The sequence below is a fragment of the Homo sapiens genome, chromosome 1, assembly GCF_000001405.40.
Source record: "Homo sapiens chromosome 1, GRCh38.p14 Primary Assembly".
NCBI lineage: Eukaryota > Metazoa > Chordata > Mammalia > Primates > Hominidae > Homo > Homo sapiens.
Genome location: NC_000001.11, coordinates 153,552,650 through 153,579,663, shown reverse-complemented (window position 1 = coordinate 153,579,663; position 27,014 = coordinate 153,552,650). Strand labels below are relative to the sequence as shown.

General features: G+C 50.0%; 1 protein-coding gene across 4 annotated transcripts, besides 11 other annotated features; it reads left to right on the top strand.

Moving 5' to 3' along the window:
- Positions 858-1,656: an enhancer, noted in NCBI's record as "H3K27ac-H3K4me1 hESC enhancer chr1:153550484-153551282 (GRCh37/hg19 assembly coordinates)". NCBI's record gives its function as "activates a minimal SCP1, AML or CMV promoter by ChIP-STARR-seq in naive H9 embryonic stem cells {active_cell/tissue: H9 hESC(naive)}" and the evidence as "EXISTENCE:reporter gene assay evidence [ECO:0000049][PMID:30033119]".
- Positions 3,615-4,395: an enhancer, noted in NCBI's record as "NANOG-H3K27ac-H3K4me1 hESC enhancer chr1:153547745-153548525 (GRCh37/hg19 assembly coordinates)". NCBI's record gives its function as "activates a minimal SCP1, AML or CMV promoter by ChIP-STARR-seq in naive H9 embryonic stem cells {active_cell/tissue: H9 hESC(naive)}" and the evidence as "EXISTENCE:reporter gene assay evidence [ECO:0000049][PMID:30033119]".
- Positions 4,396-5,176: an enhancer, noted in NCBI's record as "H3K27ac-H3K4me1 hESC enhancer chr1:153546964-153547744 (GRCh37/hg19 assembly coordinates)". NCBI's record gives its function as "activates a minimal SCP1, AML or CMV promoter by ChIP-STARR-seq in naive H9 embryonic stem cells {active_cell/tissue: H9 hESC(naive)}" and the evidence as "EXISTENCE:reporter gene assay evidence [ECO:0000049][PMID:30033119]".
- Positions 6,791-6,880: an enhancer, noted in NCBI's record as "active region_1749". NCBI's record gives its function as "activates an Ori minimal core promoter by ATAC-STARR-seq in GM12878 lymphoblastoid cells {active_cell/tissue: GM12878}" and the evidence as "EXISTENCE:reporter gene assay evidence [ECO:0000049][PMID:35858748]".
- Positions 11,676-12,432: an enhancer, noted in NCBI's record as "H3K27ac-H3K4me1 hESC enhancer chr1:153539708-153540464 (GRCh37/hg19 assembly coordinates)". NCBI's record gives its function as "activates a minimal SCP1, AML or CMV promoter by ChIP-STARR-seq in naive H9 embryonic stem cells {active_cell/tissue: H9 hESC(naive)}" and the evidence as "EXISTENCE:reporter gene assay evidence [ECO:0000049][PMID:30033119]".
- Positions 12,596-13,795: an enhancer, noted in NCBI's record as "P300/CBP strongly-dependent group 1 enhancer chr1:153538345-153539544 (GRCh37/hg19 assembly coordinates)". NCBI's record gives its function as "activates an origin of replication core promoter dependent on BRD2, BRD4, P300/CBP, MED14 and CDK7 cofactors, with strong dependence on P300/CBP, by STARR-seq in HCT116 cells {active_cell/tissue: HCT116}" and the evidence as "EXISTENCE:reporter gene assay evidence [ECO:0000049][PMID:35650434]".
- Positions 12,596-13,828: a biological region, named in NCBI's record as "P300/CBP strongly-dependent group 1 enhancer GRCh37_chr1:153538345-153539544".
- Positions 12,659-12,898: an enhancer, noted in NCBI's record as "active region_1748". NCBI's record gives its function as "activates an Ori minimal core promoter by ATAC-STARR-seq in GM12878 lymphoblastoid cells {active_cell/tissue: GM12878}" and the evidence as "EXISTENCE:reporter gene assay evidence [ECO:0000049][PMID:35858748]".
- Positions 13,769-13,828: an enhancer, noted in NCBI's record as "active region_1747". NCBI's record gives its function as "activates an Ori minimal core promoter by ATAC-STARR-seq in GM12878 lymphoblastoid cells {active_cell/tissue: GM12878}" and the evidence as "EXISTENCE:reporter gene assay evidence [ECO:0000049][PMID:35858748]".
- On the top strand, positions 13,820-18,556 carry S100A2 (S100 calcium binding protein A2). Of its 4 annotated transcripts, XM_047427373.1 has the most exons (4): positions 13,820-14,158; positions 15,777-15,930; positions 16,128-16,249; positions 18,073-18,556. In XM_047427373.1, exons 2-4 carry the CDS (start codon positions 15,787-15,789, stop codon positions 18,095-18,097), a joined length of 291 nt encoding a protein of 96 aa, XP_047283329.1. In that variant the 5' UTR covers positions 13,820-14,158; positions 15,777-15,786; the 3' UTR covers positions 18,098-18,556. The 4 variants fall into 4 exon arrangements, with proteins under 4 accessions (XP_047283329.1, NP_001353336.1, NP_005969.2 ...); NM_001366407.1 differs by lacking the exon at positions 16,128-16,249 and having other exon boundaries at positions 15,811-15,930; NM_005978.4 differs by lacking the exon at positions 16,128-16,249.
- Positions 13,948-14,705: an enhancer, noted in NCBI's record as "H3K27ac-H3K4me1 hESC enhancer chr1:153537435-153538192 (GRCh37/hg19 assembly coordinates)". NCBI's record gives its function as "activates a minimal SCP1, AML or CMV promoter by ChIP-STARR-seq in naive and primed H9 embryonic stem cells {active_cell/tissue: H9 hESC(naive and primed)}" and the evidence as "EXISTENCE:reporter gene assay evidence [ECO:0000049][PMID:30033119]".
- Positions 14,706-15,463: an enhancer, noted in NCBI's record as "H3K27ac-H3K4me1 hESC enhancer chr1:153536677-153537434 (GRCh37/hg19 assembly coordinates)". NCBI's record gives its function as "activates a minimal SCP1, AML or CMV promoter by ChIP-STARR-seq in naive H9 embryonic stem cells {active_cell/tissue: H9 hESC(naive)}" and the evidence as "EXISTENCE:reporter gene assay evidence [ECO:0000049][PMID:30033119]".

Below are 27,014 nucleotides of genomic sequence, written 5' to 3'. Positions count from 1 at the left end.
CTTATTTTTTTTAAGACAGGGTCTTGCTCTGTGGCCCAGGCTGGAATGCGGTGGTACAGTCATGGCTCCCTGCATCCTCGACCTCTTGGGCTCCAGCCATCCTCCTGCCTTGGCCTCCCAAAGTGCTGGGATTACAGGCGTGAGCCACTGCACCTGCCCCATTTCTCTCATTTTTAAAAGAGCATTTAAAAGCAAAGTTCCCAAGTTAATTCCTTTCTGATTATTATTTACTTGGAGTGGGGCTAGTTATCTGCTGAAGGGTGCTGTGGTAGAGTGGAGTGAAGTGTAGTGGGCTTTCATGGTACTTGGCGGTAGAGGGTGGGGAATACATCTTTTCTTCATTTTCAGTTTTTGGCAGACAGGGTTGCTTCACAGCAAAACTTTTCTTTCTTTTTTTTCCAATCAGCTTCCCCAGGTTGAATCACAGCAATGCTTGGTGGAATGTGGTCTGACACTCTCTGTCTCCTCTCCTGCTTTATCCCAGTTCATCTCTGGTGGTGTCCCTGACAAGGCAATAGGAATGTCATGCCAGCATTGTTTCTTCTTAAGCTCCCCCTTCCCTGCTGTCTTGGGGTGTCAAAGTCGGTCTCCTCAGGGAGACCTCTCCCTTAGCCTCTTCTCAACCTCAAATAGGTAGGTTCCTTTTACGGGGCGCTCCACCAAGGGCTTGGGTGGCATGTTCTGCTCTCATTGAATGTCCTTGCTTAGCTTCCTGCAGAGATACATTCGGCAGATGCCTTTTGTGATTTGTAGCTTGGGGTTTTATCAGTTTCATTAACCATGGCTTTTTACCCTTTCTCTATTTGTTTTGTTTGATTATTCTTAGTGATGTCCCAAGGTTGAAGAAAGAATCTAATCTTCCATCCTTTGTTGGGAGTTCCCTAGAGTCATCTTTAAGTCCTAAATCAGATAATGTCATTCCATCATTTGAATGGAATGACATTCCACTGGCCTGTTGTTGGAGTTAGGAAAAAAACTAAATTCCTTACATCAGCCTACAAGGCTCTGCATGATTTGACCCCTGCTCATCTCTCCAATTCCACCCTGTGCCATTCTCTATCTCTTTCCATCCATGCTCCAGCCACACTGGCCTTCTTTTACTTTCTTTATGTCCCAAACTCTTTACCATCCCAGGGCCACTGCCTGGAATGCTCATGGGCTCTGCTCCCTGAGTGAGTAACTCTCATCCTTCAGTCTCAGATGAAAGCCCTCCTCCTTAGCAAGCCCCTTTCCTGACTGTACCCAGGTGGGTGTGTGGGGCCCCCCATGGTTCTCCATCATCACACCTATTTGTATTAATAGCACTTACTACTACTTGTAATTATATATTTTCCCCCTTTCTTCTCCCAGTTGATTATATGCTCCGCCAGGGCAGGAAATATGTCTGTTTTATTCACCAATCTCTCTGCAGGCTCTATCTAGTCCAATGTCAGCTCTTAATAACCATTTGTCAAGTACATTAATAGAGAATGAATTACAGAGTTTTATCCTTGAGAGCGGTGTTGAAGAGTTTAAACGATGTGGTGGTCTGTGGAGAGACCCAAAAGGTTTTTGAGCAAGTGAGTGACAGAACAAAGAGCTATAATCACAATGGATGAAGAAGGGAGAGACTGGAGTCCAAGGAGAAGCTAGCCAGGAGGTTGCCAGGAGGTTGCTGTCCCAGGACAGGCTGGCTGGCGTGAGGCAGTAGCTCTGGGGACAGAGAGAACGGGTCAGCCAGGCGAGCTTCCAAGGAAAACCCAGCAGCACTTGGTGTGTGCTCAGTGGCTGCTTGGCTGGATCTGGGTTTCTACAGAGCAAGACAGAGATGATACATGTTGGGGCTTGGATGATGGGATGGAGCTGGGGTACGGGGGAGCAGTGAGCTCACAGGCAGAGCCTGGGGTTGGAAGGGCGGAGCTGGTGGAGTGGAGATTCAAACGCCTTTTAGGAGCTGTGTAAACCGAGGGGTGTGGCCGGGCGTGGTGGTGAGTGCCTATAGTCTTAGCTATTGTGGGTGGGTGGAGGACTGGGGGGAGTTGGGGTGGGAGGATCACTTGAGCCCAGGAATTCAAGACCAGCCTGCGCAACATAGCAAGAACCATCTCTATTAAAATAAATAAATAAACTGAGGGGTGGTGATGCTGTGAGAAAGAGGAAGAAAGAGAAAGGAGACAGAGGGAAGCAAGCAAGAGAGAAAAGCTTAGAGGACCAACGTTAGCTCCACCAGCTGGGGTAGAGAGAGGAAGAGGACCTGGGGAAGGGGCTGGAGAAGAAACTCTGGGTGAAGGAGTGGCAGAGCCAGGGTGATTGCGGAGCGGTACTCTGCAGTCATGCCAATCCGAGTTCAAATCCCAGCTCTACACTTAATCCCCTGAGCTTCTGTTTCCTGGTCTATTAATCACAGACATTGCCCACATTATAGAATGGTTGAGAGGAGTAAATTAGATAATAAATGTACAGTACTTAGTGTAATGCCTACACAGTATAAGCACTCAGCAAATTTTAGTTTCTTCCTGCCTACCTGCCTGTTTGCCTTCTCTTTTTCCCTTCTTCTTTTCTTTTTTATTTTTTTTTTGAGATAGGGTCTCCCTGTGTCACCCAGGCTGGAGTGCAGTGGTGTGATCTTGGCTCACTGCAACCTCTGCTCCCTGGGCTCAAGCGATCCTCCACCTCAGCCTCCTGAGTAGCTGGAACCACAGGTGCATACTACCATGCCTGGGTAAACGGTGTTTTTTATGGAGATAGGGTTTCACTTTGTTGCCCAGGATGGTATTGAACTCCTGGGCTCAAGCAATCTGCCTGCATTAGCCTCCCAAAATGTTTGGATTATAGGCATGAGCCACCGCACCTGCCCGCCTGCCTTTCTTTCTTTCTTTCTTTCTTTCTTTCTTTCTTTCTTTCTTTCTTTCTTTCTTTCTTTCTTTCTTTCCTTCCTTCCTTCCTTCCTTCCTCCCTTCCTTTCCTTCTTTCCTTCTTTCTCTCTCTTTCTCCCTCCTTCCCTCCCACCCTCTTTCCTGTCTTTTCTTTTTTTTTTTGACAGGGTCTTTTTCTGTTGCCTAGGCTGGGGAGCGTTGGTGCAATTATGGCTCACTGCAGCCTTGATTTCTTGGGCTCAAGTGATCCTCCTGATGCAGCCTCCTGAGTAGCTGGGACTATGGACATGAGCCACCATGCCCAGCTAATTTTTATATATAGATATAGTTTACAAAATTTTAATTTTCATTTTTATACATAGAGATGGGCTCTCGCTATGTTGTCCAGGCTGGTCTGGAATTCCTAGCTTCAAGCAATCCTCCTGCTTCGACCTCCCAAAGTGCTAAGATTACAGGTGTGCACCTCTGCTCCTGGCCTCTTCTTTCGTTCTTAGGAACAGGTGTTTATCTAGCCAGAAGCTGGGCAGGTTCAGAAGGTCATTCTTTATCACTTCACTGAGGGATGCTTTTGTTCTGAGAGACTAATTATTGTGCATCTTTATGACCACAACATAAACACAAACATTCCAGGAATTAGCTCAATTTCTTCCCAGAAGTAAAGTCCCTTTGAGAATCCAAATGCAAACCAGAGGCTAGTTGGTGAATGGAGAGCCTGAAGGTGGATGAGCTTAAAGGATTGCTTGAGTAAGCCTGGTTGATGATGTGTGTGTCTATCATCCTGTAGGGAGCCAGTTTCTTATTTTGTTTTTCGTTTTTTTTAATTTTTATTTATTTTTTTATTTTTTATTGATCATTCTTGGGTGTTTCTCGCAGAGGGGGATTTGGCAGGGTCATAGGACAATAGTGGAGGGAAGGTCAGCAGATAAACAAGTGAACAAAGGTCTCTGGTTTTCCTAGGCAGAGGACCCTGCGGCCTTCCGCAGTGTTTGTGTCCCTCGGTACTTGAGATTAGGGAGTGGTGATGACTCTTAACGAGCATGCTGCCTTCAAGCATCTGTTTAACAAAGCACATCTTGCGCCGCCCTTAATCCATTTAATCCTGAGCTGACACAGCACATGTTTCAGAGAGCACCGGGTTGGGGTGTAAGGTCATAGATCAACAGCATCCCAAGGCAGAAGAATTTTTCTTAGTACAGAACAAAATGGAGTCTCCTATGTCTACTTCTTTCTACACAGACACAGCAACAATCTGATTTCTCTATCTTTTCCCCACATTTCCCCCTTTTCTATTCGACAAAACCGTCATCGTCATCATGGCCCGTTCTCAATGAGCTGTTGGGAACACCTCCCAGACGGGGTGGCGGCCGGGGAGAGGGACTCCTCACTTCCCAGAAGGGGCGGCCGGGCAGAGGCGCCCCCCACCTCCCGGACGGGACGGCTGGCCGGCCGGGGGCTGACCCCCCACCTCCCTCCCAGACGGGGCGGCTTGACGGGCGGGGGCTGCCCCCTCACCTCCTGGACGGGACGGCTGCCGGGCGGAGACGCTCCTCACTTCCCAGACGGGGCGGCTGCCGGGTGGAGGGGCTCCTCACTTCTCAGACGGGGCGGCTGCTGGGCGGAGGGGCTCCTCACTTCTCAGATAGGGTGGCCGGGCAGAGACGCTCCTCACCTCCCAGACGGGGTCGCGGCCGGGCAGAGGTGCTCCTCACATCCCAAACGGGGCGGTGGGGCAGTGGCGCTCCCCACATCTCAGATGATGGGCGGCCGGGCAGAGACGCTCCTCACTTCCTAGACGGGATGGCGGCCGGGAAGAGGCGCTCCTCACTTCCCAGACTGGGCAGCCAGGCAGAGGGGCTCCTCACGTCCCAGATGATGAGCAGCCAGGCAGAGACGCTCCTCACTTCCCAGACAGGGTGGCGGCCGGGCAGAGGCTGCAATCTCGGCACTTTGGGAGGCCAAGGCAGGCGGCTGGGAGGTGGAGGTTGTAGCGAGCCGAGATCATGCCACTGCACTCCAGCCTGGGCAACATTGAGCACTGAGTGAATGAGACTCCATCTGCAATCCCAGCACCTTGGGAGGCCGAGGCTGGCAGATCACTTCTGGTTAGGAGCTGGAGACCAGCCCGGCCAACACAGCGAAACCCCGTCTCCACCAAAAAAATACGAAAACCAGTCAGGCGTGGCGGCGCGCGCCTGCAATCGCAGGCACTGGGCAGGTTGAGGCAGGAGAATCAGGCAGGGAGGTTGCAGTGAGCAGAGATGGCGGCAGTACAGTCCAGCTTCGGCTGGGCATCAGAGGGAGACTGTGGAAAGGGGAGAGGGAGAGGGAGGGGGAGGGGGAGGGGGAGAGCCAGTTTCTTATTTTGAAATGGGGGGAAGCATTGAACTGGATCAAGCAAGCTGTCATCAAAGTCCATTACTTTTGAAGCTAGACTTAGATGTTTTACCAATTATAATGAGAAAAATATGGGCATTTCCAAACTAGGAGAAATAATGTAGCAAATTAACAGATTATTCTCAATTTTAAGGTTTTCTTTACTATTTTTCTTAAACTAACACCTGATACTTTCAGATGACAAAAAGTGGGCTCAAAGGATAAATAAATATTGACAGGAAAACCAGGAGTAGATCATGATCCCTGTATTTTAGTGGATGTGGGGTTTGGTCATGGTTCTATGTTGCTGATACATCAGATGGCCCCATCTTGGCCATGACACTGGCTCTAAGTATATGTTAGTTTCTTTTTCTTTTCTTTTCTTTTTTTTTTTTTTCCGAGACAGAGTCTTGCTCTGTCATCCAGGCTGGAGTGCAGTGGCATGATCTCTGCTCACTGCAACCTCCGTCTCCTGGGTTCAAGTGATTCTTCTGCCTCAGCCTCCTGAGTAGCTGGGATTACAGGCGTGTGCTACCATGCCGGCTAATTTTTGTATTTTTAGTAGAGTTGGGGTTTCACCATGTTGGCCAGACTAGTCTCAAACTCCTGACCTTGTGATCCACCCGCCTCGGCCTCCCAAAGTGCTGGGATTACAGGCGTGAGCCACCACGCCCGGCCCACAGTTTCTTCTTCTATTGATACATGTAATAACACTCACTGAGTCCTCCCTATACTTTACATACATACAAATGTGTTATCTCATTTGATAGGTGAAGTGGGCAATAGTATTCCCATGTTACAGAAGAGGAAACTGATGCTCAGGAAAAGGTTAAGTAACGTTTGTAAGGTTACATGGTGAGTGTAGTAACTGTGGTAACTTGCTTCCTATTTTTAGTAAGAGACCCTTGACCACACTGGCAAATCATAGCACTCCGTCTCCCTGGCAACAGAAATTGGCCCATGGCTAAGTATATGAGACAAGCAGGGCCAATCAGCGCTCTTCTCTGGATTAATATATAGATAATGGGTTTACAAAGCTGGAGCAGTCTGTGGCCACATTCCTCATTATTTGGAGAGGCTCTGCTATGCTATACTAAGGGTGATGCCCACATGCAAAAAGACACAAACAGCATGAGAGAAGAATGGATGGATGGATGGTGTTGAGTTCCTCATTCTGGTCCCCATGGCTGTGGTTTATTGATCCTGTGAATTATCACAGTGACCTTAATGCGATGTAACACAATACACCACATTTTTACTTTGGTGAGCTTGAATTAAACTTCTGTCTCTTTTAGCTGAAAGATCTTGATTGACAGAATTAGAATATGGTGGAGTCAAGATTCAAATCCAGAATCCAAAGTCTTAATTCCTTTGCAATAACCATTTCCTAGTATTACATATTGATCTCCAAAAATGTCTTTCTTTAAACCACTTCCTCATGAGCAACACACTATAATATTACAAATCACCACCCACTCTCCTGAGTCACTTTTCTTTTTCTGAAGCTGCCCTTAGTCCCTTTCTAAGATTTAGAAAGTAACTTGGATTTATCAGAACACAGAATGCATCTCTCAAGTTGGGTGTTTCTGGGAAGACTGTGAATCACCCTGATTTATGTTGATCCCTGTTAGCACCAGTTTCAGTTTTACCAAGTGACATTGTTCCTTCTTGGTCCTCTATGCTGGCAAATAGTGGAGCCTGGCTTCAGACTCAAGCCTGCCTTATACCCAGGCCTATGCCCTTGCCAGGACAGCAGCGGCCTCTAGCTGTGGGAAACCATGAGGAGCTGGCAGGCCAGGGTGGAAATATCCTGTGTTCTCGAGCCAGGTGTCAGGCGTGAGAACTCAGGAACTATGATACACTGACATTATTATCATTATTATTTTGTTTAGCTCACTCTGTTGACCAGGCTGGTCTCACACTTGGCCTCAAGCAATTCTCCTGCTTCAGCTTTCTAGTGCTGGGATTACAGGCATGCGCCACCACACCTGGCTAATTTTGTATTTTTAATAGAGATGGGGTTTCTCCATATTGGTCAGGCTGGTCTCGAACTCCCAACCTCAGGTGATCCACCTACCTTGGCCTCCCAAAATGCTGGGATTACAGGTGTGAGCCACAATGCCCGGCCACATCCTTCTTTCTTTTGAGTTCTGGGAAAAAGTACTCAAGCAGGGCTCCAAGTCTTAGCTGTGGACCAGCGAATGTAATTTGGAGCTGAGGCCAGAAAGATCTTTCTATTCCTCTCCTGCTGCTTCTTGAACGGACCTTCCTTGTAGCTCATTCTAGATAGCAACTGCCCAGCTGCCGACCCTTGCGGCGGTGGGGTCATCAGTGCAGGTGGGGAGCACAGGATGCAGGGCACGTCTTTCCGGGGGGCAGACTGACTGGGAAGAGGAAGCTGCAGTGAGAAGGGGCAGAGCTGAGCCTGCTCAGAGCCTATCCCTCAGTCGCACCTCTTCCTTTGGGAGAAGGAGAGAGTGGTGGAGAGAGAAGTGGGTGGCTCCTCCCTGCTGAAGAACTCTTTTGAGAGTAGGGTGTTAGATTGCTTCCTCCCCAAAACACTGGCATTGGCAAGAAGAGTTTCTGGTGACGTAGGAGAAAGCTGGTTCCGTAGAATGGTAGCAAGTCAGTTTTCAGGAGGTTCTGGGGGTGGAGGTGGAGGATTTAGAGCATATCTGGAAAAGTGGTGTTGAAGGGAGGAGAGAGGATGGTGGTTACGACGGACAGCACTTGTGCCTCTGTGTCAGGCACTGGGGATATGGAGCATTGACAATACTCAGTGCCTGTTTCTTAGGAGCCCAGTCTAGTGGGAGGGACACATATATAGTCACAATTAAACATAAGAAATAATGGGGGCTGGGTGTGGTGGCTCACGCCTGTAATCCCAGGACTTTGGGAGGCCGAGGTGGGCGGATCACCTGAGGTTCGGGAGTTCGAGACCAGCCTGACCAACATGGAGAAACCCCACCTCTACTAAAAATACAAAATTAGCTGGGCGTGGTGGTGCCTGCCTGTAATCCTAGCTACTCGGGAGGCTGAGGCAGGAGAATCACTTGAACCCGGGAGGCGGAGGTTGCAGTGAGCCGAGATCACGACACTGCACTCCAGCCTGGGTGACAGAGCAAGACTCTGTCTCAAAAAAAAAAAAAAAAAAAAAAAAAAAGAAAAAAGAAAAAAAGGGATAGAGCGATGGGCAAGGGGCTGCAGGAGGAACACTAGCTGTGTGTGTGCATGTGTGTGTGCATATTCTTCTGCTCTAGCAGGTGCGAGGCTGGGAAGTAGATACCGGGATGCTGCATGGAGGCAATGACCTTTGAGCTGAGTTTAAAGGGTGATTAGGATTGACAGGTGGACCTCCTGAGGAAAGGCTTTTCAAGAGAATGTGAGGCATAGGCAGGTGCTTGGAAGCACAGAAGGGCGCGGCATGCACATCAGTGTAGTTGCTGTGCCAGCAAAGGCATGCCATCTCTTCTGAAAGTTATGGGGGTTCACTAAGCATTTGAATCTGGGCTGACATGCTCAGATTTGAATTTTAGAAAGGTTATTCTGGTGGGAGAGCTGAGAAGGGGTTAGAGTTGGGGGGCGAGGATGGAGGTGGGAGGGGAGTTGGGATGTGTTTGCAGTAGTCCAGGAGCAAGATGATGCTGAGGGACCTAAGGCAGTGTGGACAAAGCTGGGTGGTATTTAGAAGGTGGAAACAATAGGTTGACTGGCCAACATCTGGAGGGCAGAGCGGGGGAAGCAGGAGGCTAGAGGACAGGAGGACAGCCACATTTCTGGTTTGGGTGATTGGGTGGATGGTGTTGTTATGTGTGGCAAAGGGGAAGCCAAGAGGAGGTGGGACAATGAGAAATGGTTCTTTTAAGCTTATTTGATTGTATTATTATTTTTTTGAGACAGGGTCTCACTCTGTCACTCAGCTCACTGCAACCTCCACCTCCCGGGTTCAAGCGATTCTCGTGCTTCAGCCTCCTGAGTAGGTGGGATTACAGGTGCACGCCACCACACGCAACTAATTTTTGTATTTTTAGTAGAGATGGGGTTTTGCCATGTTAGGCAGGCTGGTCTTGAACTCTTGGCTTCAGGTGATCTGCCTGCCTCAGCCTCCCAAAATGCTGGGATTACAGGTGTGAGCCACCATGCCCAGTCTCTTTTATATTTATATTTAATCCGGGCTAGGCTGGGCATGGTGGCTCACGTTGGTATCCCAGCACTTTGGGAGGCCGAGGCAGGAGGATTGCTTGAGCTCAAGAGTTCAAGACCCGTCTGGGCAAGATGGCAAAACTCCATCACCACAAAAGATGCAAAAAGATGCGCACAGTGGCGCACACCTATAGCCCCAGTTACTGAGGAGGTTAATGTGGGAGGATCACATGAGGCTGCAGTGAGCTGTGATGGTGCCACTGTACTCCAGCCTTGGCGACAGTGAGTCTATGTCTCAAATAAGTAAGTAAACAAAAATTAAAAAGAATCCAGTCCACAGGGCATTTGAAGGCAAGAGGAAAAGATGCCAGAATCAGAGATGGGGAGAAGATGGGCTTCTGGCGCCTGCTGAGGTTGAGAAATGAGACAGATAGGCTGAGTGTGGGGTGGAGAGAGGATGGGCAGAGAGACTGAGGCTGGTCTGAATGGAAATGAAATGTTAGGGCTCTCAGGGTTATCGGGGAATAATTGGAGCTTCTAGGAAAGGTTTAACGTTGTGACCACCTGTGTTCGTCATGCCTCCCCACCCCTTACTAATTGTGTGAATTTGGCAGACTTTGAGTCTCAGTGTTCTCCTCTGTGAAGTGGGGTCATCTTATTCCAACTCCTGGGATTGTTGTGTGAATTAAATGGGGTAATGTACGGAGAGCACCTGACGCACAGCGAGTGCTTCAAAATTTCAGTCTGCACCCCCCAGCAAAGGATATGCACACGCCCATTGTGAGTGACAAATCCAGGATGACCTGAACCCAATGTGATAACGTGGGTCCTCGCATGCTGGTCATGCTGCCGGGAGACACTTATGGATCCAATTAGTACAACAGGGGAAATAAATTATTTAATGCATTTTGCTAAGACAGAATACCTCAGAACTTATTTTGTGGGGCGGGGCATAATAAAGGGGGTCCTTCTGCTGAAAACGTTTAAGCTCAGGTTCGTGGCACCACTCAACCAAGGTCGACAGTCACACAGTAAGCCAGAGGCAATGTCAGGACTTAAACTAAACCTGTGGCCCCCACAATGAGGCCATTTCTCTTTCCCCTGAACGGCCTGGGGAAAGGGGGTGGGTGGGCAGAACTTGGCAGTGGCCAATCCCTCACTTCTGTCCCCTGGTTTTCTCCTGCCCTTATCTCTAGGCTTGCATTGATTGATTGATTGAGACAGGGTCTTGCTCTGTCGTCCAGGCTGGAGTGCAGTGGCACGATCATGGCTCACTGCAGCCTCAAACTCCTAGGCTCAAGTGGTCTTTCCGCCTCCTATCTCCCGAGTACCCATATCCCTAGGCTTTTAAAATGGCTTCCAGGTATCTGGCTGCCGTCTCAGACATCCACCTGGGCTTCTGGGCAGGGACTGTCCGGGAAACCTCATCTATGTGAAGCAGGTGTGGGTGTAGGAAGGCCGCTTGGAAATGAATCAGCACTGTCTCCTGTTTGAGTCGTAAGCAGGGCGCCAGAGGGTCTGGCGGACAAGAAAGGGAGGATGACAGGAGGCCGGCACTGCAATGACACGCCTTAGCCACCAGAGGGCACGAAGCAGCTGGGCAAAATCCCGCGGGGCCGCTGGTGGAAAATTTCTGGCACCTGGAGCCCGGAGATGGGGTGGACGGAATGTGAGGACCCAGCTTCCTGAGGCTGGGCCGGGGCAGAGTCACTGCTTTGGATGTCCGCAGGGCCTGCTTGTGTCTTGACTACTCTGCCTTTGTAGACAGCTGGAGAATGTGAGAGTGGGATTGGGATCGGACTCTAGGGGCCATTCCGTACAACTCTCCTGCCCTGCCGTGGGGGAGGGAGTTGCCCAAGGTTACGCAGCAAGTTAGTGGCAAATGAATACGATTATCACCAGTCTCAGGTATATGGCCATTTGATGGGCGCAGTCGCAGCCTCAGTTCCTGAGACAGAGACACCTGATTAAGGACAGGCCTTCAGGAGCTGACCCTAGTGACCCGCGGCTCTGCTGCTGTCTCTGTTTTTCTCCCTGGCTTTTCCATCTGACTGACTCTTTGTCTTCTTCGTCTGCCTGCCTGTCTCCGTCTCTGCCCGCTGGGGGGTTTGCTCAACTCCCTCACTGGGTCCTGGGAGCCGCAGTTTCCTGCTGTCACTCCTCAGGGATTTGTAGCTCTCTGAAGCTCTTTTCCGACCCGTTGTCTCGGTTCCACTCTTGGGATCCAGAGGAGAGGTGATTATTTCGTAGCATAGTCAGTGGTGTGATTTCACGGGGTGAGAAGGACTCCCTTGCTCCTAAGCACTCCTCCAGTGACCCCTGTTGCCATGTGGTAGCCGTAAGCACTGGTTGGCACCTGGTGTGGGCGAGACCCTTACCTCATGCAGAAATGAGTAAGACCGGTGAGCTCACCATGTGGGGGTGAGGCTGAGAGAAAACAAGTACACAGGTGATTCAGTCAAAATCAGAATTCTCTAAGTACACACGAAAAGGGCAAAAGGGGCGCTTTGTACAGGACAGAACAGGTAGACACTGAATCCGGTTGGGCCCTGGGAAGGCTCCCTGCAGTGGCCTTTGAAGGGGGGGTTGGATTTCAGCAGGATAGAGGGCATGGGCATGTGTGGGCACGTTCTGAACAGAGGGGTCAGCGCAAGCCGAGGGTCTTGGCCACACTAGTTGCATGTGCCGGTGTGTTTAAGGGACACGCAGCAGCAGGCCGAGTCTGGAGCGCCTCACTGCCAGGCTTTTTAAAAATTTTTAATTTTAATTTAATTTTATTTTATTTTTACTTTAAGTTCTGGCATACATGTGCAGAATGTGGTTTGTTACATAGGTATACATGTGCCATGGTGGTTTGCTGCACCTATCAACCCATCATCTAGGTTTTAAGCCCCGCATGCATCAGGTATTAGTCCTAATGCTCTCCCTCCCCTTGCCCCCATCCTTCTCCCCGCAACTGCCCACAGGCCCTGGTATGTGGTGTTCCCTTCCCTGTGTCCATATGTTCTCATTGTTCAACTCCCACTTATGAGTGAGAACATACCGCCTGGCTTTAAGGGACAGCCATGGGGATGCACTGCAGTTTCTGAGCAGGGAAGGCCCTGTGGAGGCCCTTAGTTAAAAGGAAAGAATGGCTGTGAAAATCGATGCATTGCGCTCCCTTGTCCCTCACCCTCAGTGTGAAGGGTTTTTATTCCGAGTTCTACTTGAAGTAGGCCTCGATGGGAAGACAAGTAGCATGAGGGGTTCAAGTACTGAGGGGAGCAAGGGACACTCGGTGGCTGTGCCAAGGTGTAGAAGAGGACACTGGGGGCCCCAAGGCCTGACTTCATGTACACTGCTCAGGCTGGCCCCCAAGTCACACGGTGACCGCTAGGAAGGGACCAGCCTGTTCTCAGTCTGATCCTCCTGCCATGTCATTATCCAAAGCTCCTCCTGGCAGGGCCTGTTTGGGGTCTCTGTGCCAGTGCTTTCCCTGCCAGGCTGGGCTGGGGCTTCCACCTACTGCTCTGGGACTGCTGCTGCCCTGGCCCTGGGGGAGGAGGGTGTGCCGCTGAGTCACTGCCTGGGCATCTGGGCCTGGAACCTCGGGTGAGTCACTTAGGGCTGAGGTAGAGGGGCTGGGGGAGGGGAAGAAGCTACTCGACAGCTGGAGCAGGGAGGGGAGCTGGGGCCACAGGAAGGGCGGTGCCCTGATGCCCAGACGGGCCGGGATAGACAAAGGGCCAAGGAGGAAGGGGCCCTGGGAGGGGGCAGCCCTCCCTTGGGCTGGGCTCTGAATGGCCACAGTGTTTGCCTTTCTCCGGGTCTGGGGAGGACATGTGTGTGGGGGGCAGTGAGAGAGGGCTGTGGCTGAGGGCTGTGCTTCAGGCCTGGATTCTGGCTTGGGAAGCTGTCCAGCTGGTGTTTTCAGCCTTGGGTAGGGATGTACCCCTACCCACCCACCCAGCCCTCAAGCTGGAGAAGAGGAGGCCAAAGTTTTCCTGTTCAGCCTTTAACTACTCGGGACTTCCTTATGCTCCCCACAGACTGTGGCCCAGCCCAACTGCGGCTGTGTGTAGAGCAACCCCATTTCTCACTGCTTCCCCATCCTTCCAGACACCTTCCTACACAGAGGGACCTTCCCAGGTATTTCTAAGCACACTTAGTTACCTCATTACCTCATTAAGAGGTATTCTGGTGCTGGCCATTAAAAGTCACTCCACTTCATCCATGCCCTGAAGTCAGTCCTGTCCTTCTCCTCCTGATGTCCCCCAGCTGCCTCCTCTGGCCCCCAGCTTCCTAAGGGTGGCCCCAGGTTGCTTCTCTCTCACACACACGGGCGCATGTATGTACACGAGCACTGGACCATGAAGTCTCAGCGTGTGCTCACAGCCTCTCACACAGGAGTGGGCTGTGACTCACAGGCATGTCATGAGAATGAGGCCTGGCACCAGTCTCCAGGCCCCAGAGCAGGGGTTGCCTCCCCTCACCCCGGTCCAGGATGCCCAGTCCCCACGACACCTCCCACTTCCCACTGTGGCCTGGGTGGGCTCAGGGGCTGCCCTTGACCTGGCCTAGAGCCCTCCCCCAGCTGGTGGTGGAGCTGGCACTCTCTGGGAGGGAGGGGGCTGGGAGGGAATGAGTGGGAATGGCAAGAGGCCAGGGTTTGGTGGGATCAGGTTGAGGCAGGTTTGGTTTCCTTAAAATGCCAAGTTGGGGGCCAGTGGGGCCCACATATAAATCCTCACCCTGGGAGCCTGGCTGCCTTGCTCTCCTTCCTGGGTCTGTCTCTGCCACCTGGTCTGGTGAGTACCTCTGTCCTGCTGAGGGCAGGGTGGGGAGGATCCCCGTGGGTCTCTGTCTTTGTCTCCACAGTTCTCTCATTCCAGCTTCCCTGGTGGGATCAACCTGGGCCTCTCTGGGCCTTCCCCCTTGGAAGAACTCTCTGTGAAGTGCTGAAGTGTTGACTGAAGGGTTTTTTTTTTTTTTTTTTTTTTTTGAGATGGAGTCTCGCTCTGTCGCCCAGGCTGGAGTACAGTGGTGTGATCTCAGCTCACTGCAAACTCCCCCTCCCAGGTTCACGCCATTCTCCTGCCTCAGCCTCCCGAGTAGCTGGGACTGCAGGCGCCCACCACCATGCCCGGCTAATTTTTTTGTATTTTTAGTAGAGATGGGGTTTCACCATGTTAGCCAGGATGGTCTCGATCTCCTGATCTCGTGATCCACCCATCTCGGCCTCCCAAAGTGCTGGGATTACAGGAGTAAGCCACCGCGCCCGGCCGACTGAAGGGTTTTTCTCCAGGTTCCTCTGTGAGGTCTCAGTGCAGGGGTTGCTCTGAGGCCCTCCCCTGGATATCTCAGTCTAGGGGCCCTTCTTTGGGGGTCTAGGCCTAGGAGCAGGAGGTGTGCATGTGGGCGTTGCTGCAAAAAGAATCCTGAGATTTTTTTTTTTTTTTGCAAAGTCCTGGATTCTAGCAGGACTAAGGTGCAAGAGGCAGGGGTCTCAAGACTCTGCCTGGGTCATGGCCCCAAGCAGCAAAGCTCTGCCCCCTGCCTCGGTGAAGGCAGGGCTGGCATGATGGGCCCAGGGCATGCCCTGCCTCTGGCATAGCTCCTCTGGCCTCACCCTGAAACCTGCCTAACCTTTCCAGGCTGGTCTGAGTATTCTCAGAGGCCTTGCCGCTGAGGTCTGTCCCATCCTGATCCCAAGGCAATGAACATTTCATATCTTTAATTCTAATTCCAACAGGATCCTTCCTGGTGGAGAGAATGTTAAGTTGCCCCCACCCTATCCATGCCCCTGTCTGCCTAGAGGCTCAGGGGCCTTCAGGGTGAGGGGAGACACATTCCCCACCCTCTGGGAGCTCCTAGTCTGAGAGAGGAAACACTCCTGCCCAAGGGAGCTTCCAGTTAGATGGCAGAGAGAGATGCCTCTGGCTTCAGGAGTCCCGAGTCTAAGGAGGGAAACGACTCCTTCAGGGAGCTTCCTGCTCCTAGGCTGTAGCCATGGCTCCTGCCAGACTGCACAGGAGCCCCCATCTGCCAGCCGGTGCATGTGGCCCTGCTCCCCAGAGCCTGCGCAGATGCCATCAAAATGGGACTCTGGTCACCCTGTCATTTCCCTTCTGGCAGACACTAAAATGGGGAGCCCTGCCCTCAGGGGGGTGTCCCAAGTGCCATCAGAGGAGGCTTGGTGACTCCCAGACACAAGGGAAGCTTTAGCGTCTGCCCTCAGGGTGAGATGGAGGTATCGCCTCCGGCCTCAGGGAACCACAGTCTGAGGGGGAGATGCAGCCCCTGCCTTCCCATTCAGAGAGGGGTTTTGTGAGGTGGCTTGGGGGCATAGGGCAGAAGTGGATCCTACAGGCTGAGCTAAGGCCCCAAGAGCCTCAGCAGTGTACCCATCACCTGGCACCTCTGCAGCCACAGATCCATGATGTGCAGTTCTCTGGAGCAGGCGCTGGCTGTGCTGGTCACTACCTTCCACAAGTACTCCTGCCAAGAGGGCGACAAGTTCAAGCTGAGTAAGGGGGAAATGAAGGAACTTCTGCACAAGGAGCTGCCCAGCTTTGTGGGGGTGAGTGGCACAGGCCTGTGGGGGAGGTCCTGGTGTGAGTGTGGGGGTGCAGGTTAAATCTCTCCCCCAGTTCCGGGTGCCTGTCGATGCAGGTGCCAGGGTGGGGCCCAGCCCCCTCCCCACTTTAGCTTCATGGCTCCACTGGAGTGGAAATGAGGCCCGAGTGGGAGTGCTTAATTAATGGCTGTTTCCTGCAGCATTCCAGAGAACCATGTGCTGTGAGGGCCTTCCGAGTCCATCTGTTTAATCCTGTCATTGGAGACTTGAGAAACCAGAGCCCAGAAGGGAAAAGTGATTGTCCCAAGATCACACAGCACTGGCACGTTCTCTCTCTCTCTTTTCTTTTCTTTTTTTTTTTTTTGAGATGGAGTTTCCCTCTTGTTGCCCAGGCTGGAGTGCAATGGCACGATCTCGGCTCACTGCAACCTCTGCCTCCAGGGGTCAAGCAATTCTCCTGTCTCAGCCTCCTGAGTAGCTGGGACTACAGGCGCATCCCACTACGCCCAGCTAATTTTTGTATTTTTAGTAGAGACAGGGTTTCACCATATTGGCCAGGCTGGTCTCGAACTCCTGACCTCGTGATCTACCTGCCTCGGCTTCCCAAAGTGATTTTTGTATTTTTAGTAGAGACGGGGTTTCATCATATTGGTCAGGCTGGTCTCGAACTCCTGACCTCAGGTGATCTGCCCTCCTCGGCCTCTGAAAGTGCTGGGCTTACAGGCGTGAGCCACCGTGCCCGGACTCCTTTTTTTTTTTTTTTTTTTGTGGTGGGGGGACAAGATCTCACTCTGTCACCCAGGCTGGATCATAGCTCACTGTAATCTCGAACTCCTGGGCTCAAGCAATCCTCCCAAGTAGTTGGAACTACAGGAGTATTGTCACCATGCCTGGCCAATTTTTATTTTTGTAGAGATGGAGTCTTGCTATGTTGTCCAGGCTGGGCTTGAACTCCTGGGTTCAAGCAATCCTCCCACCTCGGCCTCCCAAAGTATTGGAATTACAGATGTGAGGCACTGTGCTTGACCTCTTTCCATTTTTATATGCCAAACTAAGAAAGTATGTAGGGATAGAAAAGCCCAGCTAAGATATATAGTCTGGGACATTTTGTGGAGAAATGCATCGACCTTCAATTTGTCCCTCACCCTCCCTATACTGACTCATTGGTGATTCCCAAAGTTAGGTGTCAGGCTTTGAACACATGAGGCAGGTCCTTCTTTCCTTTTTTTAATTTTGTTTTTGTGGCTGGTTAAATTTTTCTAATTATTTCGGCTAGTATTAAAAAAGTGTTTTTCAGCTGGGTGCAGTGGCCTATGCCTGTAATCCCCACAGTGTGGGAGGCTAAGGCAGGAGGATCTCTTAAGCCCAGGAGTTCGACCAGCCTGGGCAACATAGCAAGACTCCATCTCTACAAAAATAAAAATAAAAATTGGCCAGGCATGGTGGCATACGCTTGTAGTCCCAGCTACTTGGGTGGATTGCTTGAGCCCAGGAGTTCAAGGTTACAGTGAGCTATAATACAGCCTGGGTGACAAAGTGAGATCACTCTGGTTGCCAAGACCAGCCTAGGCAACATAGCGAGGCCTTGTCTCTACTAAAAATAAACAATTAGCTGGGTGTGGTGGCATGAGCCTGTGGTCCCAGCTACTTGGGAGGCTGAGGTGGGAGGATTGCTGGAGCCCAGGAGGTTGAGGCTGCAGTGAGTTGTGATTGTGCCACTGCACTCCAGCCTGGGCAACAGAGCAAGACCTTGTCTTAAAAAATAAAAAGTGTTCTTTTCTGAATCTACCTGGCTGGTGTTGGGGAGCAGCAACCTTCGGTTTCCTCATCAGCAGAATGGGGTGATGATACCTACCTCGCTGGGCTCCTGTGGGATTCGAGCTGATGCATGCTCAGAGGAGCATCCAGTGTCCTCCCTGTGTCCAGGAGGAGGGCACACTGGAGATGCTCACCAATGAGTATCTGTCTCTCTCCTTACTCACTGGGCCCTCTTGGTAGCTCCCAGGGCCTCCTGCCCACCTTATACCCAGCTGCCCAGTGGGGAGGGAGAGCTGGGAACCAACCTGAATGTGTGAGGGTCTGGGTGTTTGGTGGAGCTGGGGTTGGGGCTGGCTTGGTGATGAGTGTATTTCCTGTCACTTTCAGGAGAAAGTGGATGAGGAGGGGCTGAAGAAGCTGATGGGCAGCCTGGATGAGAACAGTGACCAGCAGGTGGACTTCCAGGAGTATGCTGTTTTCCTGGCACTCATCACTGTCATGTGCAATGACTTCTTCCAGGGCTGCCCAGACCGACCCTGAAGCAGAACTCTTGACTTCCTGCCATGGATCTCTTGGGCCCAGGACTGTTGATGCCTTTGAGTTTTGTATTCAATAAACTTTTTTTGTCTGTTGATAATATTTTAATTGCTCAGTGATGTTCCATAACCCGGCTGGCTCAGCTGGAGTGCTGGGAGATGAGGGCCTCCTGGATCCTGCTCCCTTCTGGGCTCTGACTCTCCTGGAAATCTCTCCAAGGCCAGAGCTATGCTTTAGGTCTCAATTTTGGAATTTCAAACACCAGCAAAAAATTGGAAATCGAGATAGGTTGCTGACTTTTATTTTGTCAAATAAAGATATTAAAAAAGGCAAATACCATCCACCATCACTATCATTTCATAAAAAGATAAAATTTCAATTCCAATAAAGGAGGAAAGGTATAATTTCAGAATAAAGGACAGACCTTAACATTCAATACTGCAAGTAATGAGTTGTACCAGGATCTACTCAAGAGATATGAATTAGTCTAATCGACCCCGCAAAGCTTTATTTAAAAGATTCCTTGTTAGACCGAGCACGGTGGCTCACACCTGTAATTCCAGCACGTTGGGAGGCCAAGGCAGGCAGATCCCTTGAGGCCAGGAGTTCGAGACCAGCCTGGTCAACATGGTGAAACCCCGTCTCTACCAAAAAATACAAAAAATTTAGCTGGGTGTGGTGGTACATGCCTGTATTCCCAGCTACTCGGGAGGCTGACGCTGGAGAATTGCTTGAACCTGGGAGATGGAGGTTATAGTGAGCTGAGATTGGGCCACTGGACTCCAGCCTGGGCAACAGAGCAAGACTGTGTCTCAAAAAAAAAAAAAAAAAAAAAAAAAAAAGAATACAGGCCATAGGCAGTGCTGTGGTTTGAATGTGTTCCCCAAAGTTCATGTGTTGGAAACTTTATCTCCAAAGCAATAGTAATTAACAGGTGATTAGGCCATGAGGGCTCTGCTGTAATGAATGGATTCGTGCTGTTATCACAGGAGCGGGTTCCTTATAGAAGGATGAATTTGTCCCCCCACCTTTTATTTCTCTCCCTCTCTTTGCTCTTCCACCAGGAGATGATGCAGCAAGAAGGCCTTCTCCAGGTGTTACCCCCTCCAGCTTAGACTTCCTGGCCTCCAGAATGGTGAGCCAATAAATATCTGTTTTGTTTTGAATACCAGTCTGTGGTATTCTGTTGTAGCAATACAAAATGGACCAAGACAGGCAGTACACCTGTTTTCAGAAAACAAGTGTATTGTATTCTATACAACACATTCTATATTATATTGTACATTCTTTTTTTTTTGAGACAGGGTCTCGCTCTGTTGCCCAGGCTGGAGTGAAGTGGCATCATAATCTCTGCTCACTGCAACTTCCGCCTCCCGGGTTCAAGTGATTCTCCTATCTCAGCCTCCTGAGTAGCTGGGATTACAGGCATGTGCCACTACGCCCAGCTAATTTTGTATTTTTAGTAGAGACGGGTTTCTCCATGCTGGTCAGGCTGGTCTTGAACTCCTAACCTCAGGTGATCTGCCCGCCTCGGGTTCTAAAGTGCTGGGATTACAGATGTGAGCCATCATGCCCGGCCGAGAGCAAAAATTTATTATCTCTTATGGTTCTGCAGGTAGACTGGGTTTAGTTGATGGTTCTCACGTGGGGTCTTCCATGTAGGTGGAAATCGGAGCTAGAGTAATCTGAATGTTTGAACAAACTCAACTTCTACGGTAGCTTGCTTAACATGCGTGGCAACTGATATCGAATGTGAGCTGGGACCTCAGCTAGAACTGCCAGCCGGAGTGCTTACCATGGCCTCTCGATGTGGCTTGAGCTTCTTAGAGCATGGCAGTAGGGTCCTGAGAGGACAAATCCCAAAGTGAGCATTGCATGAGGCCTACGTGGAAGCTGGTAGGCTTAAGATTTATTAATTTTAATTTTAATTAAATTAATTAATTTATTTTTGAGACAGGGTTTCATTCTGTCACCCAGGCCCGGGTGCAGTGGTGCAATAATGGCTCACTGCAGCCTCCACCTCCCAGGGTCAAGCAATTCTCCTGCCTCAGCCTCCCAAGTGGCTGGGACTACAGGTACACGCCACCATACCTGGTTAATTTTTGCATTTTTTGTAGAGACAGTGTTTCACCATGTTGCCCAGGCTGGTCTCAAATTCCTGGACTCAAGGGTCCCACCTGCCTTGGTCTCCCAAAGTGCTGGGAATACAGATATGAGACACTGTGCCTGGTATTTCTTAAGATTTATTTCAGAAATCCCAGGACATCATTTCTGCTATATTCTAATGATAAAAAAAAATCATTAAGTCTGGCTCAGATTAAGGGGAGGAGGAGAATTAGACATCTCTCTCTTTTTTTTTTTTTGAGATGGAGTCTTGCTCTGTCGCCCAGGCTGGAGTGCAGAGGTGTGATCTTGGCTTACTGCAACCTCCACTTCCTGGGTTCAAGTGATTCTCTTGCCTGAGTAGCTGGGATTACAGGCATGCGCCACCACGCCCGGGTAATTTTTGTATTTTCAATAGAGACAGGGTTTCACCATGTTGGTCAGGCTGGTCTTCAACCCCTGACCTCGTGATCTGCCTGCCTCGGCCTCCCAAAGTGCTGGGATGACAGGCGTGAGCCACCGCGCCTGGCTAGACATCTTTTAATGTAAAGAGCAGCGTGCATAAAATTGACAGTGACCATCTTTGGAGACTAAATACCATAGTCTGTCTTCTAGCAACCGCAATTCACATCCCTCCCATATGCAAAATACATTAATCTCCTTCCCAAGACCCACAAAGTCTCATCTCTTTAAGGCATCAATTTGATGTCTCTGATCTTATTATCTGAGACAGGCCCAGAGATATGAACAAGGCTTCTCATGTGCAGTTCCTCCAGGACGGCTCCTCAAAAGTGGTTCCTCTTGACCTGAAGTCCTGTGAAGAACATAGTCGATGTTCACAGGTGAGATAAAGATACATAACTGCCATCCAGGCTTGTTGGCTCACGCCTGTAATCTCAGCACTTTGGGAGGCTGAGGTGGGTAGATCACTTGAGCTCAGGAATTTGAGACCAGCCTGGCCAAAGTGGCAAAACCCCGTCTCTGCTAAAAATACAAAGATTAGCCTGGTATGGTGGCATGCGCCTGTAATCCCAGCTACTCGGGAGGCTGAGGCAGGAACATCGCTTGAACCTGGGAGGTGGAGATTGCACTGAGCTGAGATCATACCACTGCACTCCAGCCTGGGTGACAGAGTAAGACTCTGTTTTTTTTTTTTTTCTTTTTTTTTTTAAAAAGATAACTGCCACAAACACGCCTATTCTTAAGGGTGTGGTGGTGTACTGGAGGCACAAATTGGTGCATTGGTCCATAGCAATTCCGAAATTGAGTCAGACATATGTCACCAGATTCTTGACTAGGGCCCAGTTCTGCTCTCTATAAGTGGTTCTTCTTGGCTCTTGGCCTCTAGGTTCTTGACTCCATTTTCTGAGTTAACTCTCTATTTTCCAAAAGAAGTAACTGTGTTGATAGCTAAGTAGCTTTCTCAGCCTAGTTCTTGCCCATTTGAAGTTGAAGACTCAAAAACTTCTTTTGGTTTTAAGCCATCTCGGTCTCTTTTAGTCCAAAATGATATAATTCCTGTAAAAATGTGGCCTCACTGTGCATCAATTTATAATTCACTTAATAGACAAAGCCATACCTACAAATCTTTTTAAGATTGGTCTCTCTCCAGCTTGGACTGAGAGTCAGGGTGCTGGGAGTAAATGCCCTTGAGATTCCTAAAAGCCTTCTAGTCTGAAAGAGCCTAAGAGGTACACTTCTAGAATTATTAGACGTTGTATTATTTATCTGAGAAGATCTAGGAAGCTTGCCCTTAAATCTTTTTGAGGTCTCATTACAAGGTCTTACCTTTGACTTACTTCATCTTTATCCTGAGTTCCTTTTTACTGTTAGGGATCTGGATTTGGTGTTTGCCCCACGGCCATTTATTAGTTTGAGAGTCATTTGCTGGTGGAAAGACTGTGCTGGGCCCTCTATAATTCTTTAAGAAGCTGAATAGTTCGTTCCTTCTGGTTTTTTTTTTTTTTTTTTTTTTTTAATGGAGTCTCACTCTGTCGCCCAGGCTGTGCAGTGGTACGATCTTGGCCCACTGCAACCTCTGCCTCCCCGGTGAGTAGTTCCTTCTTTAGTTCAACATTTTTTTTTTGAGACGGAGTCTCGCTCTGTTGCCAGGCTGGAGTGCAGTGGCACGATCTTGGCTCACTGCAACCGCTGCCTCTGGGGTTCAAGTGGTTCTCCTGCCTCAGCCTTCCTAGTAGCTAGGACTACAGGCATGCACCACAATGCTCAGCTAATTTTTTGTATTTTCAGTAGAGGCGGAGTTTCACCATGTTGGCCAGGATGGTCTCGATCTCCTGACCTCGTGGTCTGCACACCTTGGCCTCCCAAAGTGCTGGAATTACAGACATGAGCTACCGCGCCCAGCCTAGTTCAACTTTCTAGTCTCATATTTTATCATAGGCAGCCAGAAGAAGCCAATTGGTACTTTCGTATTCTGCATAAAAATCTCCTTACCCATATCCATAAACTGATTAGGTACCTTTCTGTTTTCCATGTAACTACAGACAACAGTGTTGCCAGACATCCTGGAATTACCTAATAGGATCTCTCTTTTCTAGACTCCAGTAACAATTTCCTCACTGTCCTTCAAATCATTACTAATAATCTTCTAGAGACCCTTCTAGCTTTCACCCATTGCCTGCTCCCAAAGCCAATGACACCTGTTTCAGTTTTTTTGTAATAGCAGCATCCTACTCTTGTAGGTCTTTGATGAAAGATGCAAGGAACAAGCTCATGCTAACTTTCTAAACTTTTTCTGCCACTTCCTCTATTACTACACCTAGGTTTCTTTTTGGTCCATGTTCCCAGATATGCCAGGGTCTGACCAAATGTTTTGTCATTTCACAACAAAGGTCCTGACTTTCCAGCCTGACATATTGGGTCATCATATCTCACTACCTTCCTCCCTCTACTTAGCCAAGTTCACATTTTAGATTCTTTTTTTTTTTTTTTTGAGACAGTGTCTCACTGTGTCGCCCAGGCTGGAGTGCAGGGGCGCGATCTTGGCTCACTGCAACCTCCACCTCCTGGGTTCAAGTGATTCTCGTGCCTCAGCCTCCTGAGTAGCTGGGATTACAGGCACCCGCCACCACGCCCGGCTAATTTTTGTATTTTTAGTAGAGATGGGGTTTCACCATGTTGGTCAGGCTGGTCTCAAACTCCTGACCTTGTGATCCACCCACCTCGGCCTCCCAAGGTACTGGGATGACAGGTATGAGCCACCGCGCCTGGCCCCCACATTTTAGATTCTTTTACTTGAGGATTCCACTTTAAGATATCAAATTCTCTACTAGTTAGGGTTTTTTTTTCAACTATAAGTTACAGAAAATCTGACTAATGCTAGCGGCTTCAATTGTCTTATACAAGAAGTCTGGAGTAGGATGTTCAGGTTTGATTCAGGGTTCCGGAGATGCCATCTGAGATCCAGTGTCTTTTCATTTTTTGGCCCTTTAATATATAGGACATCTACTGTTTTCCTCATGGCTTGTTGTTTCGTGATCACACTGTGGCTGCTATACCTCCAGGCCTCACTGTCCATGTTCCAGGCTGGAAGACAGAATAAGGATGAGGTGCAAAATGCCTTTTCCACAGGAGCCTTTGCCTTTTTATTATGATAGAAGTGCCCTCCCCCAGAGACTTCCACTTACATCTTTGGCCTTAACTGTGTAATTTGGCTAGTCTTAGCTGTAACCAAGGGTTTTTAGCTGACCACATTGACATCTTAGAAGAAAAAAAATGGGTCTTAATAATGAAGAAAGAGGGGATGGATAGTGGAAGAGTAATGCAGAGTGTTTTCCTGAATTTTTTTTTTTTTTCTGAGATGGAGTCTCATTCTGTCGCCCAGGCTGGAGTGCAGTGGTGCGATCTCGGCGCACTGCAAGCTCTGCCTCCAGGGTTCACGCCATTCTCCTGCCTCAGCCTCCCGAGTAGCTGGGACTACAGGCGCCCGCCACCATGCCCGGCTAATTTTTTTGTATTTTTAGTAGAGACGGGGCTTCACCGTGTTAGCCAGGATGGTCTCGATCTCCTGACCTCGTGATCCGCCCGCCTCGGCCTCCCAAAGTGCTAGGATTACAGGCGTGAGCCCCCATGCCTGGCCTGAACTGTTTTTTTACTTACTTGGGAAATCGATCTTTGAGAACCACTTCCAGAGTAGCTCAGATAGGGTCCCCAGAGACAGAAAAGGCCAAGTGAGAAGGCGCTGGGACAATTGCTTGTTCTCACTTATGATTCTGCCTTGACTGCACATCTGGGGCTGGCGAGGCAAGGCGGAGCAGGCCTTCAATGATACATGGTCTCTTTTCATAGCAATAAAAAGAGAGAAGCCCACCTTCCTAATATCCTGTAGGAAAGGGAGCCAGTAACTATAGGTCAGGGAATCATGATGATGGTAATTAACATTTCTGTAGCAGTTCTCAGAGTTCCTTTCATGCACACTGTAATTTCAGCCTCATGGTAACCCCGAGAGGAGCTATCATTAGGCCGTTTTTACAGATGAGGAAACTGAGAGGGAGCAGCATCTGTCATTTGTGGAGCACTCCCTCCAGCTAGGCACTCTGCTGGTCTATTCAAGTGTCATCTCATTTAATCCTCGGGGCAACTGGGTGAGAGCAGAGCTATGCTATTAGTTTCTGCACGTCACAGACAAGGAAACAGAGGCTGGGAGAGGTTAAATAAGGAGTAGCGTCAGGACTTGACCCATGTCTTAAGAAAGGTCCTCATCCCTGTGGACACTAGGGTGGCAGTCCGGGCCTTCCTCCCCTTCCCACAGCCATCTCCAAAGCCTGGGGCTTTGTGTAAGGTGAAAGGGACCTGGATGAGCAGCATCCAGACTCTCAGTGTCCCTATCCTGAGTCACTGGGGGAAGCAGGCCCACTTGCTCCTGGTGGATTAGTGCAGTCTGGTTTCTTTTGGGCCTTAGGCTCACAACAATTCCTGGCTTCTCTTGGCTCAGGTTCTGGGGCTGTTTTGGCTGGTGGAGACTAGCCTCAGCTGGCTGCCCTTGGAGCTGGGCAGGTTCTGAAAGAGGCTGATTTCCTTTCCTTCTGGGCATTTGACAAACTAACAAACACCACTTTCCCAGATGGTTCCGGCAATCTTCCCTTATCCCCTTTCCTCTCCCCAAATCTCTGTGCAGAGGCACAGAGGAGGAGAGTCTAGAAATAGCTCTGTTCAAAAGTTTGTTGGGCCAGTTGTCTCCCACTTCCTCCTAGAGCTGCTGCTGGAGGAGAGCCTCAGGAACACATACCTCACCCTGCATCCTGCCCTACTGTCACTTTGGCATTTGCTGTTTCGCATTAATCCCTGGCAGCCTATTAACCCTCCAGGAAAGGACAGAATGAAGGCAAAGCTGGGCTCTGAGACAAGGGACTGGCTGAAATAGGGCCCCCATGCCCTTGTCTTTAGGTCACTTGATCTCTCCACTGACTCACTGCTCTCATCTATGAATTGGTCACAATCAGTCAATGACTTGGCAGTCAAAAGAAGTAGTAGGTCTAAGTAATAGGTCCACAGGCCTCTTTGATCTCAGTTCAGATCCTCTTCCCATCTCCCCAGGCCCAGTCCCCAATTCTGTAGCAAAGGCCTTCCTGGCTCTACACCAGTCCCAGTCATCAAATACCCCTTCCTACACCTTCCCTATATTTGGCTCAGATGATGAGAAAGGAAGCTAATCATTTTGACAAGGTTCGTTGGTCCCATGGGGCTATGGGATTGGGGTGGGTTCACCCTGTCTCTGGGGCCCAGGCCCTTTTGGCACAAGCATGTGGGATATCCAGATGCTCAGGACAATTTATCTTGTTCTTCCCCGAGGTTCAGAACCAGACACTGACCTTCAGGGAGGCGGTGCAGTTTCCAAGGGCGTATGGTGATAGTGGTGATATTGGGGCGACAGAGCCAGGGAGAATGGGTGCAGGGGAGAGAGAGTCAGTGCTATAATAAGTCCTGCCAGATCAGATAGTGTCAGCTCTCACCCTTCATGCACCCACACGCGTTGCCCCTACGGGGAGAGAGCTCCTTGCCCTCCAAATATGGTGCATTTCTCAGTGGTCAGCTCCACATCTGCAGTGGGGGCGGGGGAGGCGGCTCTGGAAGGTGAGCAGCAAGGGTCCTGGGCTCAGCCCGAGCATGAACAATTGAGTGTGTGGACACTGGACGGGGTGTGGGAGGAGGACGGTCCCTCTCCAGGCCTTGGAGGGGCGGTTCATGTGGGATGCATTCGGAACCACTGCAGAAAGGGAGATTCAGGGGAGATGCTGGGGAAGAACTTCCAGCAGGGCAGAGAGTCCAATCATCCCAAGAAGAGTTTGTGAAAGCAAGGGAAGGGAAGTTACAGCTCTCCCCTCCACCTGCATGGAGGAGGCAGGACCAAGTGAACTGTTGGGGAGAGGCTGGTTCTTTCCCTCCCCTCCCGCCCTCCCTGAAGCCCCACTGAGGTGACTCAGTGCATGTTTGTTGAATTGGACTCAGAGGCCTCTGCCCTGACATTGTCCACAGTGACAGCGAGTGATAGAAAGCGCTTTCATGTCGGATTCTTAAAGTAGGAATCTTCCAAACCCATTTTGGAGGTAAGGAAATTAAGGCTCTAACAAGGTAAAGAATGTAACATGCTTGAGGGCAGGTGGCAAGAGGAAGGTAGAGCCTAGAGGTTCTTTCCATGACAGTCTGCCAACCCCAAAGTCCTGTACCTT

Excerpts from the sequence above, each read along its gene's own strand:
- S100A2 (NM_005978.4), top strand. The coding sequence starts at position 15,787 with ATGATGTGCAGTTCTCTGGAGCAGGCGCTGGCTGTGCTGGTCACTACC. Across the intron at positions 15,931-18,072 it reads AGCTGCCCAGCTTTGTGGGG|GAGAAAGTGGATGAGGAGGG; the intron begins GTGAGTGGCACA and ends TGTCACTTTCAG.